General features: G+C 41.9%; 1 long non-coding RNA gene across 1 annotated transcript in view, besides 2 other annotated features; it reads left to right on the top strand.

Annotated features, from left to right (window-relative positions):
• The window catches only part of EPIC1 (epigenetically induced MYC interacting lncRNA 1), a 223,927-nt gene that overhangs the window by 5,578 nt on the left and 195,231 nt on the right, over positions 1–23,118 (top strand). The window lies entirely within an intron of this gene.
• Positions 22,109–22,612: an enhancer, noted in NCBI's record as "OCT4-NANOG hESC enhancer chr22:48055109-48055612 (GRCh37/hg19 assembly coordinates)". NCBI's record gives its function as "activates a minimal SCP1, AML or CMV promoter by ChIP-STARR-seq in naive H9 embryonic stem cells {active_cell/tissue: H9 hESC(naive)}" and the evidence as "EXISTENCE:reporter gene assay evidence [ECO:0000049][PMID:30033119]".
• Positions 22,613–23,116: an enhancer, noted in NCBI's record as "OCT4-NANOG hESC enhancer chr22:48055613-48056116 (GRCh37/hg19 assembly coordinates)". NCBI's record gives its function as "activates a minimal SCP1, AML or CMV promoter by ChIP-STARR-seq in naive H9 embryonic stem cells {active_cell/tissue: H9 hESC(naive)}" and the evidence as "EXISTENCE:reporter gene assay evidence [ECO:0000049][PMID:30033119]".

The following is a 23,118-nucleotide window of genomic DNA, read 5'->3' on the forward strand; positions in this document are numbered from 1 at the left end:
ACTGACTAAGACAGAGAGGAACATAAATTGAGCAGGAAAGGGAATTGCTATGAACTGACTGTGAGTGTCTCCCCCAAAATTCATATGCTGAAGCTCTAATTCCCAAGGTGAGAGTATTTGGAGGAGGGGCCTTTGGGAGGTAATCAGATTTAGATGAGGTCTTGAGGGTAGAGTCCCTATGATGGGTCCCCATAATGGGATTAGTTTCCTTATGAAAGGTGACAAGACCCTTTCTCTCTCCTTCATGTGAGGACACAGCAGGAAGGCAGCCATCTGTGAGCCAGAAAGTGAGCCCTCACCTGATGGCCAAGCCTGCTGATGCTTTGGTTTTGGACTTTCCAGCCTCCAGAATGGTGAGAAGTGAATTTCCGCTGTTTAAACTCCCCAGTTTGTATTGTCTTATTGTAGCAGACTCAACTGATTAAGACAGGACTCTAGGGGAGAAGAAGAAAGATGGCGCAGATAAAAGTGAGGGAAGGAAGAAGGGAAAGCAGATCTTCGGAAGAAAGAGGCCGTAATTTTGGACACTGGATGTTAACCTTAGAAGAGGAAGCCCTGGGACTGTGAAGCCACAGAGGCACTCTGACCCACTCTTTCTTTCGAATAATACTGGAAAATCATCTCACTTAAACTAGCAATAAAAGCTTGTGACTAAATGCAAAGTTAGTATAAAAAAAGGAACAATTAGCATAATAATATCCCTACAGACACTAAGGCACAACAGAAAGATATGGTCACAATAAACCAAAAACTTTAATCTTTCAAAAACAATATGTTGTTCTTTTACAAATAACAGAATTTGTGAAAGAATAGCATCTATCAGAATTAAAATAACACATAAATAAGGTGACTGGATAAGTAGATGACAAATAGAGCTCACAGAATTTAGTAAATGACTAGAAATAAAAGAAACATCATTTTAGAACAAGAGAGATGAAATCAGAGGAAATACAAAAGTAAATAACCATCACATATAATATCAACAGATAAATATAAAATGTAAAAAAGGAAGTATTTTAAAAGAAGGAAAATTAAGAAAGACATTAAAAATATTTGAAAGTAATAATATAGAAGACTAGAAGATTCAACATATGTATAATTGGAGATGCTGAGGCAGAAGCCAAAACACGGGACAGAATGAATACTAAAGCCAATACTTATAAAACAAAGCTTCCTTAAATGAAAAAAAAAAAATAAAATAAAAACTTAAATATTGGGAAAGAACATACTCCATTTGGGAAATTCCACCTGAACGGTCAATACAAAAGCATATTCTAGTAAATTATTGGGCTTTAGATTGAAATCCAATTATTTGGGCATTCATGTAAAAAGATACAGAATCTTACAGAGGAAAGAGAATCAGGCTGCATCAGACTTTTTGACAGCAAGTCTTTATACCAGAAAAAAAAAATGGAGAAACAGATTTAAGATACTCAAGGAAAACAATGTGAGCCAACCAGCCAGACTGACTTTCAGGCATACATCCATATAAAAACTCAGAGAATATTATTCCTATGAAGCCCTCCTGAAATGTCTAGTACCCCACACTAACTATCCATATTTCTACCACCACTTTGCCCTCATTTTTGTTACATGAAGCTGTTTCTTAGTTAATGTGGGGTACCAGCACCCAGAGATGCTAGTTAGCTGGTGTACTAGGACCCAGAGAACTACTTAGCATGGTGTAACAGCACCCAGAGAACTACTTAGCATGATGTACTAGCACGCAGAAAACTACTTAGCATGGCGTAACAGCACCCAGAGAACTACTTAGCATGGTGTAACAGCACCCAGAGAACTAGTACCGAATGGTGACTTTGAGGAAAGCATGCAGTATGTAATGGCTATATGCTTTAACAACGTAATACCTGGAAAATTATCAAAATTGGGGGTGAAAGGAAGAGGGGAATATGTAAAAAGTGGAGTAATCTGACTGAGTATAAGTACTAACTGAGAAAGAGGGCGGATCACAATGTCAGGAGATTGAGGTCATCCCGGCTAAAACGGTGAAACCCCGTCTCTACTAAAAAAAATACAAAAAAAAAATTAGCCGGGCGTAGTGGCGGGCGCCTGTAGTCCCAGCTACTTGGGAGGCTGAGGCAGGAGAATGGCGCGAACCCGGGAGGCGGAGCTTGCAGTGAGCCGAGATCCCGCCACTGCACTCCAGCCTGGGCGACAGAGCGAGACTCCGTCTCAAAAAAAAAAAAAAAAAAAAAAAAAAAAAAAAAAAAAAGAAGAGAGGATGATGAAAATACAAAATTACTAGAGTAAAGATGTCCATTAGAAGAAAAATTCACGCCCTTCTAGATGCCGAAAGACATGAGAGAAAAAGCAAATAGAAAAAGCAAGTTGAGTGTTGTATGCAGTAAGTGAATATCTGTGTATGTGTGTGATATGACATATATGTGCAAGTGTCATATGACTGTGGCAGACTGAAGACAAAGACATTGATTATAGTGATAAATAATACATAAAATGGGCTTAATATAAATGGAAGAAATATTATTTTCAGATTGATGAACAAAGTGAAATCCAAGTCTGTGCTATGTACATGAGACGTGCCTAAAATAAAGAAATTTAGAAAACAAAGTACAAATTAAGATATCTGGGAAAAATGTGAACAAAAAGAAAGCAGGTGTAACAGCCATGCTGTCTAACAAAGTAGATGTTAGAGCTCACGGCATTAAAAGAGATTTAAAAGGAGGTGTTTTCATAACACTGAAGCTACAATTCACTATGAAGGTATCACAGTTATTAATATACATGTGCCCAATAATACAGTCACTTTCAAAGAGTAAAAAGTGCAGGAGATACAAGGAGAAAGGATAAAATTATACTCAGGGCTGGAGAATTCACCACACCACTCTCTATCCAAGACAAACCGTTAGTAAGAAGATAGAAGACTTCAGTGACATGGCCAATGAGGCAGATCCTACAGAAGTATATTGAACTCTGAACTCTGATAATTGAGAATATGGCTGCTTTTTAAAAGTGCATGAAATATCTCCCAAATTGACCATATCTTATGCTACAAAGAGAATCTCATTAAATCCAAAGCATAGAAATAATACAATCAGCCTTCTCCTACCACAAGCAATAGAACTAGAAGCTAATTGTAGCATTAACAAAACAAAAAGATTTGCCCACTAAACATGTTATTAAACAACTCTTGGAACAGCAAAATAAAATAAAGACAAAATAAAGAATGAAATGACAGAATTTCCTAAAAATAGAATTTATAGAATATGGCTAAAGCAGTTATAAAAGAATAATTTTAGACAAATAAAAATTAATATTATTAAAAATGCAAAAAGGAAAATAAATGAATTAATATCCAACACAAAAAACTAGAAAAGAAACAAGACAGTAAACAGAAAGCAGCAAAAAGAAGTAACAAAAGTACTAATGAGTTCAAACGAGTTGGTACAAATGCAATAGAACCAGAAATACATCCAAAATCTGTTCGTAGACAAACTGTGAGGCCATCTAAAAAAAATTCTGGTGAGGTTTGGGAGAAAGAGGCACAAATATAAAAAACTTAGAAATGACAAATGCATCAAATCCAGAAGAATTTATTTTTTTTAATCATAAGATTACTTTGTAGAATTGTATGTAAATAAAGTAAAATACCAAGATAGGATAATTTTCTAGAAAACTGCAAAGTACCCAAACTGACCCCATTAAAGCGAGAATCTAAACAGGCCAGTTACCATTAAAGAAATAGAGGAGGTAGTTAAAGAGCACTAACTCCTTTCAAACCCCAGTTACCACAGAGGAAATATACCAAGTTTTAATTAGATCAATTAATAGCAATGATACTTAAATAATTTCAGAGTATAGGGAAAAATGGAGAACATCCAAATTCTTTTTATGAAGCAAGTAAAACCTCTATAATATGACAGAACTTTTACTATAAGACAAAAGTACTAACTAACTTCACTTATGAACATAGATGCACAAAGGTCTTAGCTAAAATGTAATTAAGCAGAAGCAAACAGCATGTAACAAAATAATGCATCAAGACCAGGTGGTTGTTTTACCAGGAACAGGAAGATGGTTCAATATGAGAAAATATATTAATATAATCCATCAAATGAATATAGCTAAGCAGAAATGTCATCTGGTCACTTCAAAAATAGAAGAGGCATTTTATGTAATCAAGCATATTCATGTTAAAAACACTTGATAAAAATAGCAATTGATGTATCCAGAAGTTAGCATACTACTCAATGGCAAACAAATATGTCCTCTGGCTAAAGACAGGAGGAAAACAAGAATGCCTGAATCTCTTATGCCATCTAGGATTGTGTTGAAAATATTAGACAGTGCAATTAGCCAAGAGAAAGGAGTCAGAGGCACAGGCACTAGAAAAGCAGAGGAAAAAATAAAACCATCTCTGTTTGCAGATGAGAAAATTACGTAGCTTGAAAATCCCCCCAAAAATCAAAGGAAAACTATTACCACCCCCAGAAGAGAGAGAGAGAGAGAGAGAGAGAATTGCTAAAAATGGCATATTATAAAATCAACAATTTGCACATCAGTAAGAACTTTTGCTTCCAGGAAGATGGATAATTTTCCCTATTTCTTCTACTAATTTCAACTACCTACTGTGGACATTATACATAGAACAAACCTAGGACGACTCCCAAGGTGCAGAGGGAAAAACAGGCTGACCTCAGCACCCAAGAAACAGCTTGGTGGTGAGTTTCCTGGGTTTTCTTTTGTCTTCATAGTTCCTGGATTTGAAACTGAAGAAGCAAGCAATCTGGAAATGTCAGTGGATGCACACAAAGAAACAACCGCAAAAGCCTGCTCGCTCTAGCCAAGGGACAAGAATAGGGGCAGTCCATCAAGACAGAATCCTTTTAAAAAATAACCACTCCACTCCAGCAATACCACAGAAGAATCTGGCTGTACCCCAGGTACATCAGCAAAGATAACCTTTACCTAGCAGTAAAGAGGTCCCCCTTACACTGGGAGCCCTAGTGAAGAGCAGGGACTTTCACCCCCACCTAGCAGTGATGGGGCCCCACCCACCACAGTGCCAGCAGAGACCATGTGGGAGCCAGAATCCTCATCCCTACCCAGCAGTAACAAGGAGCCCTCCTCACTGCGGGCATCAAGGGTGAGTGAGTGCAAAACCTGGGTGTCACTCGGAAGGGAAGAATGGTGTCTCCTTCCTTCCCATCCCCTGCCAGAGTGATATCACTAGGAAAAAGAAAATAATTTATCACCAGCAAATCTACCCTACAGCTAAAACAGAGGGCTTAAGTTAGGCCCAGAATCTCATGACATAATACGAAAATGTCCAGAATTTAATAGAAAATCACTTATTCTACTAAAAATGGAGAGGATCACACAATGGGTGAAAAGACAATCAGTGCATGCCATACAAATTGACAGAGATGTTGGAATTATTTGACAAAGGTTTTAAAACAGCGATGAAAATGCTTCAATAAACAATTACGAACACACTTAAACAAAGGAAAACAAAGAAAGCCTCAGCAAAGAAATAGAAAGCCTCAGCAAGGCAATAGAGATATAAAGAAAAAAAAATGAGTAGACATTTTATTATTTATTTATTTATTTATTTATTTGAGATGGAGTCTCCCTCTGTTGCCCAGGCTGGAGTGCAGTGGCATGATCTCGGCTTACTGCAGCCTCTGCCTCCCGGGTTCAAACGATTCTCCTGCCTCAGCCTCCCGAGGAGCTGAGATTACAGGCACCCACCACCATGGCTGGCTAATTTTTGTATTTTTAGTAGAGGCGGGGTTTCACCATGTTGGCCAGGCTGCTCTTGAACTCCTGACCTCAAGTGATCCACCCACCTCAGCCTCCCAAAGTGCTGGGTTTACAGGCATGCACCCCCACACCCAGCCTCAAATAGACATTTTAGAACTGAAAAATATAATTGAAATTTTAAAAGCACAGTGAAATGAGCTCAACAGCAGAATGAAATGGACACAGGAAAGAACTGCGAAATGGAAGATGGAACAATGGAAATAATCCAACCCGAACAACATGGAGAAAGTAGAAGAATAATAAAACAACAACAAGAACAGCAACAACAAAAAGTGAACCAGCGCCTCAGGGACTTCTGGGATTATAAGAAAAGTCTAAATTTTGTGTCATTTTGTCCCTGCAGGAGAGGTGAAAGGGGGAGAGGCTGAAAAGTACATGAAGAAATAATGGCTGAAAATGACCCAAATTGTTAAGATACATAAACCTGCAGATTCAAGAAGCTGAAAGATGCTCCAACAGGATAAACCTAAAGAAATCTATGCCAACATGCATCATAATTAAACTTCTGCAAAGCAAAAAACAAAACATTTCTGAAAACAGCCAGGGGAAAAGAACACCCAACCTGGAAGGGAAAAACAATTCGAATGACAGTGGATTTGTCATCAGAAACCATGGAAGCCAGGAGGAAATGACACAATATTTTTCAGCTACTAAGAGCAAAAAACTGTCATCCCAAAATTCTATACCCATAAAAATATCTTTCAAGAAGGAAGGAGAAATGAAGACATTCTCAGATGAAGGAAAACTGAGAGAATGTATCAGCAGCAGACCTATCCTAACAAAATAGCTAAAAAGAGTTCTCTAAACAGAAAGGAAATGATAAAAAGGAACCTTACAACATCAAGAAGAAAAAATGATGAGCAAAGTAAATAAAAATATGAATAAATATAGTAGGCAGTTTCTTTTTCCTCTTGAGTCTTATAAATTACACTTGATGGTTGAAGCAAAAATTATGATATCATTTGATATGGTTCTAAATATATGCAGAGGATATATTTATGACAATTATTGAAAGTAATGGCAAAAACTGTAATTATTTTGCACCAACCTAATATAAACTGGGGAAATGAAGGTTCTTAAAGATAGGCAAGAGTTCTTTATTTGACTCCACCTAATAAAAGGATAACACCAATAGCCTGTGATACTATGTAAATATAATATAGTACCTACATCAACCACTAAAAATGCTGTACAGAGACGCACATTTTAAACACTACAGATACATCAAAATGGAATTGTAAAAATATTCAAGTAATCTGTAAGAAGGCAGAAAAATGTAAATGACCCCGGAAAGAGAGAGAGAAAACAAGAAAAAAAAGAAATAAAGAATTAAAATAGCAGAGTTAAGCCCTAAAATATTAATAATTACATTAATGTGTAAATTAAATACACTAAAATACAGAAAGTGATAGGATGGATTAAAAAGCATGACCCAATTATATGTTGTCTATAAGAAACTCACTTCAAATGTTGTAATATAGGCAGGTTACAAGATAGAATGTATCCTTCACCATAAAACAAATCTCAACAATTTTAAAAATAATTAAAGTCATGCACTTGTTCTTTGATCACAGTGGACTCAAACTAGGTTATGAATAACAGCACAATAACAGAAAAATCTCCAAACACTAGGAAACAAAACAACATACTTCTAAATAATCCATGGGTGAAAGAAGAAGTCTCGGGGGAAATAAAAATACTTTGAACTGAATAAAAATGAAAATAGAATTGTTGGGATACAGCTAAAGCAGTTATGAGAGAGAAATGTATGACACTAACTGCATATGTTAACAGAGATGAAAAGTCTCAAATAAGTAACCTAAGCTCCCAGCTCAAGAACTGAAAAATAGAAGAGCAAAATAAAAAAAAAAAAACACATAGAGATAATAAAGATGAGAGCAGAAATTTTTAAAAAGTGGAATGTAGTAAAGATACCAATTTTACTCAAATTGATATATAGGTTTAACGCAATGCCTATCCATCTCAGCAATATTTTTTGTAGATATAGACAAGATTATTCTAAAATGTATATGGAAAGGCAAAGGCACTAAAATTGCTAAAACAATTTTAAAAAGGAGAACAAAGTGAGAGGAATCAGTCTACCCAATTTTCATTTTAATTGTGATAAAATACATATAACATAAAATGTACCATCTTAGCCACTTCCCAGTGTATAGTAGTGCTAAGTACATTCACATTGTTTTACAACCAATCTCTAGAACTCTTTTTATCTTGCAAAACTGAAACTCTATACCTGTTAAACAACAACTCTTGAACCCTCCCTGCCCCCAACCCCTGGCAACCACCATTCTGTTTTCTGACTATAAATTTGACTACAGTAGTCCCCCCTTATCTGAAGGACATACATTCCAAGATCCCCGGGAGATGCCTATAACTACAGATAATACCAAACCCTATATATACTATGTTTCTTCTATCTGATAACTGAGACAGATATGAAGTGACTAGCAGGTGGGTAGCACATACAGCATGGATATGCTGGACAAAGGGATGATTCACATCTGGGCAGGGACAACATGAGATTTCATCATGCTACTCAGAATGGCACATGTGACTTATGAGTTGCCTGTTTCTGGGATTTTTCATTTAGTATTTTTGAACTGTGGTTGGCTGCTCGTAACTGAAACCATGGAAAGCAAAACAGCAGATAAAGGGGGACTTCTGGACTCTATGGACCTCATATAAGTGGAATCATGTAGTGTTTGTCTTTTTGAGACTGGCTTATTTCACTTAACGTAATGTTCACAAGATTCATCCACGTGGTAGCATGTGTCAGAATGTCCATCCTTTTCAAAGGCTGAATCGTATTCCATGGTCTGTATACATTATTTTGTTTTTCCGCTCATCTAATGAGGGGCATTTGGGTTGCTTCCACTTTTTAGCTATTGGGAGTAGTGCTGGCATAAACATGGCTGTGCAAATATCTATTTGAGTCCCCCCTCTTCCCCAGTTTCTGGAGTATATGCCCAGAAGTGGAATCCCTGGATCATATGGTAATAATTCTATATTTACTTTTTAAGGAACTGCCATACTGTTTTCCATAGCAGCTGCAGCATTTTGCATTCCTACCAACAGTGTGCAAGGGTTCCAACTTCTCCTCATCCTTGCCAACACTTGTTATTTTCTGCATTTTTGATAATAGTCGTACTAATGGGTATGCTTTATTCATCATAGTTCAAAGCTGGAAACAACCCACGTGGCCTTTGTGGGTGGATTATTAAATAACTGTGGTACATCCATAACCATGCCATGGAACACTTACTACTCAGCAATAAAAGAACAAACTATTGATCTATGCAACCATCTGGTAGAGTCTCCAGAGGATTGTGTAAGTGAAAAATGTCAGTCCCCAAAGGTTACATACTGTGTGATTCAATTTCTATAACACTGAATCAACACAGTTACAAAAATGGAGAGAAGACTCCTAGCTGCCAGTGATTATGGATGTGGCTGTAAGAGGCAACAGGAAGGATCCTTGTAGTGATGGAAGTAGCCTGGATTTTGCATACATTGTCATCAGTATCCTGATTGTTACATTTTATTATATGCTTGTTGCATTGTATGTAGTGTATACATATTTTTGCTAGATGTTACCATGGAGGGGAACTTGGTAAAGGGCACACGAGGTCACTGTGTATTATTTCCTACAACTTCATGTAAATCTGTACTTATCTCAGAATTAAAAGCCTAGTTCCAAACATAAAGGGACGGAATCAATAATTACCATGGATATAAGCCAAAACCTGTTAGAGTATCTATCACTCTGTAACAAATTACCTTCAAACTTACCAAATTATGACAACAAAACATTTGCTAACTCACAGTTTTAAGGGTCAAGAATTTGGCCATGGCAGAGCCAGGCACCCTGGCTCAAGGCAGAGCCCTCACAGGCTCTGGGCGGGCTGGCACTTCAAGGCTTGCCTGGTGCTGTGGGACCCACCTCCAAGTTCACTCACATGGTTATTGGCAGCCTTAGGTCCTCACTGCCTGCTGGAGAGTCATAGACCAGTCCCTCCCCAGGACAGCTTACAGCATGACAGCTGGCTTCCATTAGAGCAATTGAGGGGGAGAGGCTGATGGAGCGCCCGAGACAGAAGGCATCGTCTTTCTGTGACCTTATCTTGGAAGTGATATCCATCAACTTTTTCTACATTTTATTCATTAGAAGCAAGTCACGGGGTTCAACCTGCATTCAGAAGAGGGGCATTCTCCAAGGAGGCAGGGATCACTGGAGTCATCTTAGAGGCTGCCCACCAGTGTCCATACACACATCCCCTATACACGTCCCATGCACACACACATGCCCACACACACACAGACACCCCTCACATGCTCACATACACACATGCACACACTCACATTCACACCACACATACCATACCACACACTACAGACAGACTCACACCATGCATACAGGCATGCACAATACATACACACACATGCTCACATACACACATGCACATACTGACATTCACACCACACATACCACACCCACGCACTGCACACAGACTCACACCATGCATACAGGCATGTACAGCACACACACACATGCTCACATACATACATGCACACACACATTCACAGCACACATACCACACCCATGCAACACACATGCAACATACACAGACTCACACCAGGCATACATGCATGCACAATACACACACACCACAGACACATACATGCTCACATACTCACACCACAACCGCTCACACTATATGCAAAACAGACATACATCATAAATGCACCCTCCACACACTCATACAACACTTATACACATGTACACATACACACACCACAGACACATACACTGTCAATATACATATGCACACACGTGCTTACATGCACGCACACATGCTCACCTATACACACACCACACACGTACATGTACATACACTCACATCATATACACACTCCCTATACCACACACAGACTCATATCACATGTACACACATACACAACACTCACACACCCCACACAAAACAACACATACACACACTCAAACCACACACGCACACACCACACACATATTTTCCATGAATAAACTTTTTAAAAATTGTCCCAAAATTATATGCGGTAAACTGTAAAACGCTTTTAGACACAGTAAAATAAACTTGAACAAAGGAAAAGACACACTGTGTTCTTAGATGGGAAGGCTTTGGCCAAGCCTTCTTAAGTTATTCCATAGTATTAAAGTATCTCAGTCCAAATACATTTTCCCTGGATCTAAATCACTTGGCTATGTATTTCATTAGGAAGAACACAGTGGGAAGAGTAACTACAAATTGCCAGCTAACCCTTGAAAAAGAACAATTGGAGGGTGCCAGCCACACAAAACATTAAAAGATGTCTTCTGTAGATACAGCCCCAAATACAACAATCCGACAGGAAAATGAGTAAATGGGCAATACAAATAAATGAATCATCCAATGAAAAAGAAATAAAAACAGCCCTCAAACCTCCCCGCTTACAATAAAGATAAATGTACAAGGCCATCCCCAGACCTAGCGACAAAATGAACGTATGAAGTTAGCTGTGTATGCAGTGGATGAGGAAGTCACACAGAGAGCTATTTCCATCCAGTGATTTTAGGGAACCCTGATCTGACAGTGCACTCCTAGGGGTATGTACCAGAAACACAAAATAAGCTGCATGAGTTATCTCAAGCTTTTTTCAGCCATCAGGGTGTTGGTGGAGGTGGTGATGCTATTACTTTGACACGCATGTGTGTGTGTGTGAGAGAAGGGGTAAAGTAAATGAGTAGTTGTGTGGGCCACAGGACATAGGATATTTAATATGATGTATAGGGGATTGATGATGTAACAGCAACAAGGGTAAGGAAAAAAAAACTTTCTTCAAAAGCAAGGAGGCAAATGACAACTCAGTATGAAGGAACAACCCTGATCCCCAGGCTGTGATCGCTAAATCCAATTTACCACTGAAAGCAACCAGGGCTTCTTGGAGAAATGGTTAGTTCTGGGTATGCATTAGAAAATGTACAACATGAGACCCAAAGATCTCGTACCAGAAAGTAAGGAAGCTGCCGTAGCTCTTGGGGCCATGCCAAAAAGTTTCTGAAAACACATGGCCTTGTATGTCTGGTTCTTTCTCTTAGCATGTTTGCAAGGTTCTTCCATGTTGTAGCAGGTGTCAGAACTTCATTCTTCTTAAAGCAGGGATATGCCACATTTTATTTCTCCATCCATCCCTTGATGGACACTTGGGCTGTTTCCAGCTTTTGGCTATTGGGAACAATGCTGCTAGGAGCAGGTGCATATACGTTTTTGTTTGGAGTGATGAAAAATGCTGGAATTAGATAATGGTGATAGACACGTGGCATAGTGCATTTGCTTAGTGCCACTGAATTGTAAATCATTACCATGGTCAATTTTTACATCATGTGTATTTTACTACAACTTTTAAAAACCTAAGAAAAAGAAATAAAAAAGAATGAATGAAAATAAAAAAAGAACTCAGCCAGACTTGAAGAGATTCTCTCAACCAAAGATAGGCCAATGTTAGCATCATTAACCCGATTGCCTTGAATGGATACAACACATTAAATATGACTTAATCCTTGAGTTTATTAAAATGAAAAGTAAAAAACTGGTCACTATCGGAGTATGTCAGGGAAACTACTCATTATTGTAAAAACTTGGAAAGAAATAAGTATTTCTCCCTGCTTTACATATAAGAACTGTATTTCTAGCTAAGCAGATAATTGAAATGGGAGGTATCTTTTTACATAAATAGTCCAGCTGCCACATGAAGAATTCATGTTGGAATCAGAGTGTCATCCTTTTCCACCCTTACTGTATTAATGACTCGTGATACTCCTCAGTGACTGCTGAGATTACAAGAACAGAAGCTCAGCAGACATCACAAATCCCCCATGGAGGCACAGCACAGCATAGGAAGTCCTCTGGCCAAAACCCAAAGCCTGAATCCGATCAAGCCCCCAAATGTAACTCCCAGTTTACAGGAGCCCTGGGACGTTGAAACACAAAATGCAGACTACAGGGGGCTCTACAGGAAAAACAACCCTGCTTTGTTGATCCATATAGCACAAAGGGAAGAAAAGGCGTGAGTACCAGACTTCAGGACTGAAAAAACAAAGGCTTTTGGAGACATATCAGCCAGTTTCAAAATATGGGTCTTACTTGGATTCAGATGTGAACTAGCAAAATTACAATGTAGACAGTTGGTAACACGTAAGCATTTATTGGATATGGATGATATTTTGGACATGCTTTTAAAAAGACCTTTCTTTTGGAGATGCACAGTAAGATATGTATAGGTAAAATCTAAACATGATATTAAATAGTGGTTACTTTAGAAAAGAAGAAAAAAAACAGAAAAGATAGGAAAGAAAAGGAAGGCAAGAGGCTTCCTTCTGCAGGGGAGAGGCCCATCCAGATTCTGCCCCGCACGGAGCCTTGTCTCCTGAGTTCCTCAGCCCTTACCAGCTGTGCCTCCGCCACCTCTGCCTGGGAACCTTTTCCTGGCCATGAAGGAAACACACTTCTGTGCTGGGGGTAGGAGGCCCATGTCTGGCTGCCCCAGAAGGTGGATGATAAGCATAGCAGAGGGGTATGGCTTTATGATGGTGGAAATGCTGCATTTCTGCATCAGGGGCACCTGAGGTGAAGACTCAAAGCTGGTGGAGGGAGCAGTCCTCCCCTCTCCACCCGGCCATTCGTGGCCCAGACGGCAGGTGCTTCAAGAGTTAAGACGCAGGCTCTCCAAGCAAGCCCTGCCCCAGCCCTTGCATGCTGTGTGATCTAGGGCCATGCGTCTAACCTCTCTGAGCCTCAGTCTCCTCCTCTATAAAATGGAAGTAATAACAGTGCTTGATGGATAGAGGTGTTGGGAAAAATAAATTTCCCAGTGTGGCCTACACAGGTGGTTCAGTATGAGCTGTTGCTAATGCGCACCCCCCACTCACACCATGTGAGGAGGTTCCTTCTGTTTCTACAAACATCCCATAACTGTTTTTCTGTGCAACTTTGTCTAAAGTCCTTCTTTGCTTGCCAGATTGTCAATTTTGTTTTTCAGTGGTGATACAGGTTTTCACATTTTCACATCTTTCCAGGATCTTTCATGAGAAATTGGAAAAAGACTTACTAGGCATCTTAAAGGGGTACTGCTGAAGTCCAGCACTGGACAGGAGGCGGGTGCAGAGCAGCTGGGGAAGGAGGAGAAGGTGGGGTGGGGTCAGTGGGAGGGGCCGTCCCTGTGGACTCACCCCCATAGGCCACACGTGTGAGTGCTTGTAAAGAACCCTAGGATTTGCAACTCAGTGGCCATAGGGACCATAGCGACAGTGAGTTCTGTGGAGCAACAGGGCAGGAGCCAGAGTGAGCTGGGTGAGAAATGTGCAGATGGGGAAATGGATTCCAGGAGGCCAGGGCAAGAACAGGGTGGCAGGGTGGTCAAAGGGCACAGGGCCAAGAACTGGCTGGCCTGGCTATTGGCATATGGATGTATGGGTTGTTCTGTCTATCTATCTCTATCTGTGTATCTATGCATCTGTCTGTGTATCTATCTATGTATCTATCTATGTATCGATCTATCTATCTATCTAATCTATCTATCTATCATCTATCTAATCTATCATCTAATCTATCTATCTATCTATCTATCTATCTATCTATCTATCTATCTATCATCTATCCAGTCTATCACCTAATCTATCTATTGATCGATCTATCATCTATCTGCCTATCATCTCTATCTATCATTTATCTATCATCTAACTGTTATCCATCTACCTGTCATCTCTTTCTGTTATGTATCTATGTACCTATCACCTATCTACCTATCATTTCTATCTACCTATCATCTCTATCATCTATCATCTATCTACCTATCATCTATCTTTCTATCATCTATCTACCCACCTACCTATCTACCATCTATCTATTGACCTGTCATCTCTATAATTTTTCTATCATCTACCTACCTATCATCTCTATTGTCTATCTATCAATTATCTATATATTTATCATCTGCCTGTCATCTCTATGTATCTATCATCTATCATGGAGACAGTTTGGAAAGGAAAAGATGTACACCAAGGGAGGAAGGCAGCCCGGACTCCAGGCTCAACCAACTGTGAGTCCTGGTCCTTCACTTTCCTGCTGGATTGTACCCCAGGGAAATTGTTGCCTGAGCCTCAGTGTCTCATCTATACATTGGTACAAATAAATACCATCTCAGATGCTAGTAAAGGCATTAATCATGGGAACTGATGTGTAGCGTGTGGTGTAATTTAGGTTCCTTTCTTTCCAGCCAGCAGGACAGATCTGTCCTCACATGGGTGCTAGTTCTGTAGTTTGGCTCCTCACTGGTTTAGAACCACACATTGCCTTAATGTGACAAACATCCCTGACATGAGCCTCAGAGAGGCCTGGAAGGACGGCAGGGCAGGGACTGTTTCCTTGTGTCACTGATCCATCCAACCAGCACATGGGCACTGAGTCCTACTGGGTGCCAGGTGTTGCCATCAGGGCTGGGAACTCTGCGAGGAGCAAGGCCAGGCCTGTGCCCCAGGGAGCTTCCAGTCCAGGCGGAGATGGGAGGAGACAGAAAAGTGAAAAGACAAGTAGATACACATTTACACATTCTGATGCATATTGTGACCACTGATGAGAAAGGAACCTGATTTCAGCTTGGTGGGTTGGGATGCCCAGGGCAGGAAAGCCATTTTCAAACTGAGACCCAGGGACAATGGGGAGCCAGCCAGGCAAGGCAGGACGTGGAAGAGTTCCATGCTGTCATGACTGCAGCAGTGAAGCTCCAAGCAGGGAAAGAATGGTTGCATGCTGGAGTAATTTACTGAAGGAAGGAAGTGGGGATGGCCAAAAAGAGCATGAAGAAGATGGGAAGGGCTGGACCACCGAGGGCCTTGGAGGCTATGCTTGCTGTTTTGTGACTGAAATGATGTGAAATGGAATATGCATGTGCAGCTTTTAAGCAGGAGAATTACAAGCCAGGTGGAGGACAGATGGCAGAGATGTTGGGGGGCACTACAAGAGGCTGGTCAGGAGTCTACTGCAGCGGGCCAAGGGACAGAGAGGTGCCTGGATGCCTCAGTGGAGTGAGGGTATGAGAAGTGGTAGGTCAGGCTCTATGGTGATGCTGAAGCTAATAGGGTCTGATGGTTCTTGTGTACAGGGCTTGGGGAAAGAGTGGAAGAGCCATGGGGCATGGTGGCTTATGCTTGTAATCCCAGCACTTTGGGAGGCTGGGGTGAGAGGATCTCTTGAGCCCAGGAGTTTGAGACCAGCCTGGACAACATAGAGAGAACCTGTCTCTACAAAATATTTTTTTTAGATGGCTGAGTGTGGTGGTGTGTGCCTGTAGTCCCAGCCACTTGGGAGGCTGAGGTGGGAGGATCACTTGAGCCTGGGAGGTTGAGGCTGCAGTGATGGTGCCACTGCACTCCAGTGTGCACCTCAGCTTGGCAAACATAGCAAGATCCATCTCAAAAAAAAAAAAAAAAAAAGTGGAGGTAGTAGTCAAGGGCAGTTGCAAGATTTCATGTGTTTGTTTCCTGTGAAAAGTTGAGTCCAAAGTGAGGCCATTTCCATAGATGGAGAAGACTAAGTAAGGCACATATTTACAGGTTGGTTTATGTATTCTGAAAAAGTGATGTCAAGGCAACCTGGAAAAGAAGAGTGTGAGTTTGATAAATACTTTAGTGGTAATACCAGTAGGGTTTGGTGAGGGATGGGAGGGGTCTAATTGGACTTCCAGATGTCAAGGGCTCTGAGGCCGCCTGGACAGTGGTGGTGGAGCGTGACTTCAGACATGGCCTCCTTGGCACAGAGGCAGCTATTTCCTCATACAAAGTATGCTCCATACTGAGATTAGGTCAATACAGGCATATGCCAATAAATACTTGCTAAGCGCCTATAAGAGCCAGATGCCAATGCAGGAAGCTGGGAGGTCTTGGCCTGAGGCTGTCCACAGAGTCCACAGCCAGGAGACAGCTCCCAGACAAGGCTTGGCTTTGCAGGGACACTCACAGGAGGCTATGTTGTGAAGGGGAGACAAGGCTGGGAGAAGAACTTGATGCAGGAGCAACTCCCTCAGCCATTCAAGAGAGCAGTGAGCTGGCTACTGAGATGCCTCATCGTTGTCCAGTCCATGCTTTTGAGGTAGTTAAGCACATTAGGGAACAAGCTGGTGTGATGGAAAGGGCTATGGACTTTCACAAAACTGGGTTCAGTCCGACCACTTACAGCTACTTAGTTTCAAAAAAAGTCACTGCAACTTCTGTAAGCCTTCTTTGAAGAAATAAATACATAAAAAGGATCTAGTGCTTATGATGCAAGGTTGCTGTCAGGATTAGAGATAATTTGTGGAACATACTGAGCACAGAACTGGGCATCCATTTACTGACTACAGATAGCAATGATGATATTATAATGATGGTGGTGATCGTCATAGTGATAGTCATTAATGGTGAGGATGATAATGATGGTGATAAGGATGGTAGTGATGATGATGATGGTGGTGGTGATGGTGGTGATGGGTAATGGTGATGATGGTGGTGATTGTGATGATAGTGTTGATGGTGATGGTGATGGTGGTGATGGTGATGATAGTGTTGATGGTGATGGTGATGATTGTGATGGTGATGAAGGTAATAAAGTTAACAAAAAATGAACAGTTGCCAGCAAGTGCATCCTATCCCTGGACAAATTGTATTGGTTCCAAGATTTGAAAAGTGCCAGTGCTTTTTACTTTATAATGTAAAGAGATTTTGCACATCCCCATGTTAATGTTATTTTGGGTGTGAATATCCCACTTGATGCCAAACATCTCAGTGAAAACTGAAAATGCAGTCAAACATCAAAATGTGCTCAGACATCCAGATGTAGTGATATTCTGCCCACAAAGTTAAGTACACGTGATGGTTATATGTTTTCAGTTTTCATTCTGTCATTTGGCATTGGACTGACTTCGGCACTGTAATAATAGCTATCAAGAGGTACGAACATATACCAGACACTTGAAAAGAATTCAAAGAGAATGCCATATTGTTGCTGGAATCTGATACATTAAGAAAAAATGCAGGCAGCCTGCTCCTTCTGCATCAGGCTAAGTGGTTGTTGGAGGAAGGGATAGCATGTCTGCTTGGCACAGTATCTTTTCTGCACAGATTCTTAGGTGTGATACAGTCTAAAAATAGCCATCCTCTATGCTGGGTTGTCTGGGGAATAGCTGTTGGACTCTCAGCTGCTGCAGCTACAAAAAGCAATATGCTTTTTGGAAAGGTATTAGGCCAGAGTTTTGTTCTGCCAGCGTTGCTTCAAATTGTCTCTTCTGGAACAAACAGAGGCCTGCCATTCCTCCTTCCCAACTAAGCAGAGGAAAAGAAACGGGAATGGAGGGAAGGCTTTCAGGCAGATCTGGACTTGGTGTTGCACACCTGCAAGGGGCACAGGCACGTGGACCAGAGTGCAGGTGTGCAGGAGAGTTGGCATACACACTAGAGAACCTGTACAACACACACACACACACACACACACACACACACACACACACACACAGAGGAGAGAGAGGGACAGTGACAGTACTGCTTCTAATATCCTAACACAATTATTCAAAATACCCAGGGAATTGGGACAAATCTCTGATGGGTCTAAGGTGATTTCTGCTTTTCAAAGAATATTTTAAATTGTCAGGAAAGTGTATTCATACTTTTTCAGCATAATTTTTTTGAAGAAAAACTCTTTAAACAAATGAAAATCAAATTTATGTACTTTAATAAGATACTGAAAGTAGAGCTCTTAGCAGACTCCCTGGCACATAATAAAAACTCATTGATATTAGCTATCATCATCAACATCACCAACACCATCATCATCACCATCATCACCATCACCACCATCATCACCACCATGATCACCATCACCATCGTCATCACCACCATCATCACCACCACCACCATCATCATCACCACCATGATCATCACCACCATCACCATCATCACCATCACCATCATCATTACCAAAATCATCATCACCATCATCGCTATCATCACTATCACCATCATCATCATCACCACCATCATTGTCGCCATCATCACCACCATCACCATCATCATCACCACCATCATTGTCACCATCATCACCAACATCACCATCATTGTCACCATCATCACAATCATCACTATCACCATCATCATCACCATCACCACCATCACCATCATCATTATAATCACTATCATCACCACCATCATGATCACCATCATCATCACCAACATCATGATCATCACCACCCTCACTATCATCACTATCATCAGCTGAAGGGAATCGTTAGCTGATGCACACAGCACAGAAACGCCCAGAATGGCTGGAAAGGTGCCCTGTGGAAAACACTCATGAATGCTTATTCTCAGCTTGTGCTAGAGCTGAGTGTAATTTTTTGTGCGTGCTGGACCCTTTGCTCTGTCCTCTCTTCGTGAACATCCTGAAATTGAGGACAGAGTGTGCAGCCACGACTCTGAGATGGGTGAGCAACTGGCTGACCCTTGCTTACTCACTTGGGAGACCCATGTGGAGAACATCCCTTCAGAGAATCGTGAAGGTGGCCAAACACACGGCTGATGCACCCGTGGCAGGAGTTTGGTCTCCTCAGCTCAACTCAGTGGTGGATTGATGCAGCCATCCTTGCTGGGGAGTCCTGAATGTGATTCAAGAGTGGGATTTGGGGTCTCCAGTTCCATCCCCCACTTCCACAGTATAGGGGACTCAGGTATGGGCGTGTCAGCCACAAAGGAGTAACCGAGCCAGGGCAGGGCTGCTGCCATTGTGTCTGGCTTTTACAGATACCAGGTGGACAGTATTGCCTTTTGTTCCCAGAAAGAGGCATTGGGCTCAGGAAACTGGGCTTCAGAAGGATCGAGTGCTTTGCTGGGCTCCTGGGAAACTGTGGGCTCCACACTCCTTCTACCCGCCCAGTGCCCCGAGTTTGCCCACTGGAAGGTTCCACCTCAGAAGGTTTCTGTATTGGTCCAGAAGCATGGGGAGAAGGCGTGCCAAGTTATTGTAGGACAGGGCGAAGGCATGCAGGGGCCCATCCTGGGAAGAGAAAGGTGGTGAAAAATGCTGGAGCACGGGAATCCCAACCGGCAGAGGGGGGCCTTCCCTTCCCTTTAACTTGGAAGGGAAGTTTGCTCAGACCCCTCTTGGGAAAGAAGATTCGCCCCTTTGCTGTCCCCCTCTGCTGTCATGGGTCCCTGGGTTACCCCTGTGTGCTGTGGAGTTGCATAGGATTATCTGCCAGCCAGAGGCAGAGTGAGGACAGGAGACACTTCCCAGAAATGTTTGTTAACTTAATGTGCATGCATTGAATATTGTCTCTGTGCCAGGCCCTGCGCGGAGAGGAGTGGCAGGGAATTTTCTTCCAGCAGAGGTTTTATCTGACCGCTATTAGTGGTTTACTACTCACCCCACCCTGGGCCGAGGCCGGGTCTAGGATCAGCAGGAGGCACCTGACCCTTAGTGGGTATACTCCAAAGTGGGGCTTCACTGACTTTTATAAACAGGCTTCTGCCTGAGTGCATCAACCCTCTGCTAGTCTGGATTTACCTTTTCTTTCTTGTTGTTTCATTTTTTCCTTTAATAAATAGAGTTAGGCTATTAATAGCCATGGAGAACATCACATATATTTACTGGGTTATATTTAAGGAATGCTTCTAACAGTAGATGCATAATGACTTCTAAGTTAAGCACAGTGTTCTGGAAAGAAAACTAATTTATCCTCAGGAATCCTACTATAATTTCCTCTCAGCTCTACTAGGGATAATACATATTATTATAATGTATGAACTGATATTTGATAGAGAAGATGATGATATGGAGGGTGATCATCATCATCATAATATTAACAGATTTGCACCTATGTTCCTCTCTCAGCTTTCTGAAGATTAGTCTATGCCTCAATTGTTTTTTCCTCTCCTGGTTGGGTGAAAAACAATATTGCTGCATTGCTGGTTGTAGCCACTGATAGGTTCTTAATGGGCATTATTTCTACTCCTTAATTTTTCCAGTAGATAAAATGATTCCCATTTTACAGGGGAGAAAATGAAGCCTCAGGGATAGAGGAGATGCAGCTGGTGGTGGGTCTGAGCCAGGCCAGCCAGCCCAGAGCTGGGTGGTCCTCCTGCAGCGTGTGATGGCTCAGGGAGGGCTTGGCCCTTGCACAGAGCCTAGATCTGGAGGTGAACGTATGGAGCCAAGAGTTATGATCAGGCTGCATGGGCACTACCCCACACCTCCAAGCCTTTGTGCAAGTTGCTCCCTCCACCAGGAATGCCTTTGCCCCTTTGTGCATGGCCAGGTCCATCTCAGACTCCTTGTCCGCTACATCTACTCTCTTGACTCTGCCCACATCGCACTATGAGCACGCTGCTCTCTCCATCACAGAATCTGCATCTTTCTCCTGGAGTTGCTAGGGACTGCCTGGGATGATGAGTGGCAGGTGCTGGTGGTAGCCTCTTGAACACCGGTGCGAGCCCATGATAACACTATGGGTAATTATGATCATGATGATGGATAAGCCTGTAGAGGTCTGTATTAGTCTGTTCTCATGTAGCTGATAAAGACATACCCGAGACTGGGCAATCTACAAAAGAAAGAGGTTTAACTGGACTTATAGTTACACATGGCTCAGGAAGCCTCACAGTCATGGTGGAAGGCAAGGAGGAGCAAGTCACGTCTTACATGGATGACAGCAGGCAAAAAGAGAGCTTGTGCAGGGAGACTCCTCTTTTTCAAAACCATCAGATCTTGTGAGACTTATTCACCATCTCAAGAATAGCACAGGAAAGACCTGCCCCCATGATTCAATTACCTCCCACCAGGTCCCTCCCACAACATGTGGGAATTCAAGATGAGATTTGGTTTGGGGACACAGCCAAACCATATCATTCCACCCCGACCCCTCCCAAATCTCATGTCCTCACATTTCAAAACCAATCATGCCTTCCCAACAGTCCCCCAAATTCTTAACTCATTTCAGCATTAACTGAAAAGTCCACAGTCTAAAGTCTTGTGTGAGTCAAGGCAAGTCCCTTCCAGCTACAAGCCTGTAAAATCAAAAGCAAGCTAGTTGTTTCCTACATACAATGAGGGTACAGGGATTGGGTAAATACAGCCATTCCAAATGGGAGAATTTGGCCAAAACAAAGGGGTTATAGGACCCCTGCAAGTCTGAAATCCAGAAGGGCAGTCAAATTTTAAAGCTTCAAAATGATCTCCTTTGACTCCAGGTGTCATATCCAGGTCACGCTGATGCAAGAGGTGGGTTCCCATGGTCTTGAGCAAGGTCCATTTCTCTACGTCCCAGCTCTTGAGTCCTCTGCACCATGGCAAAGAAAACTCATAGCTAAATAAATACTTGCAGCTTCTCAGTCTGTATTGTCCTCCCTCTGCATCCCAAGAGTTGAATCCCCCTTCATCTGGTGTTCCCCCAACCTCAGAGCTCCTGGGCATTTTAGGGCCAGGCTGGCACACCCTGCTGTCTCCCTGACATGGAGGAGAGATGGCATCTGGAGAGCCGCACAGCTGTGTGCCATTGGATCCTCCTCCCTGGGTTGAACTAGCAGCAGGCCAGCACTACAGGGGAGTGGATTATCAAATGCTCCCTGGAGAGAATAAAAGGGCATTGTTCCTTTAAACAGCAACAATGCATCCAGAGAACACTATTATCCTCTTCTTTAGGATGTAACTACTCTAGTCAAGTGGCTACTAATTGACTGCTTTGATAAACAATGTTTGTGGTTGTTACTCAGAAGTTGGCTCTGCTTGAGCTTTGCATATGGACTTCTTGGCTGAATAAATACTTAGCCTATCTTTTCCACATGTGTAGATAATGTGCATTTATTTAAAGAAAGAAGATCAACATAAGCTCATTTTCCTGCAGGCTCTGCTGGCATGCTGAGCCTCCCTCTGGGGTGCAGTTAATCCTGCCCTGAGTGAGGAGCAGGTTAGGACTGCTTTGCTGGTGGACGGGGGTCTGGGCCCAGTCTGTTGGACTGCTCTTCTCTGAAGGGCTCACAAAGGCCTGGCTAGCAGAACTCCACTCTGCCTCTCTTCGAGGATCACTCAGGACATCCAGTGAGGGTGTGGTGACCACCCCAGTTAGGGTAGGCTGTAGGCAGTTAGAAGTTTTACAAAAGTAGTGATTGGAAATGAACTCTTCTCTTAATCCCCTGCCTTCTTCATCACCTTCATCTCTTCCTCATCTATATCTTCATTTTTCTCCTCTTCCTCCTTCTTCTTC

The sequence above is a fragment of the Homo sapiens genome, chromosome 22, assembly GCF_000001405.40.
Source record: "Homo sapiens chromosome 22, GRCh38.p14 Primary Assembly".
NCBI lineage: Eukaryota > Metazoa > Chordata > Mammalia > Primates > Hominidae > Homo > Homo sapiens.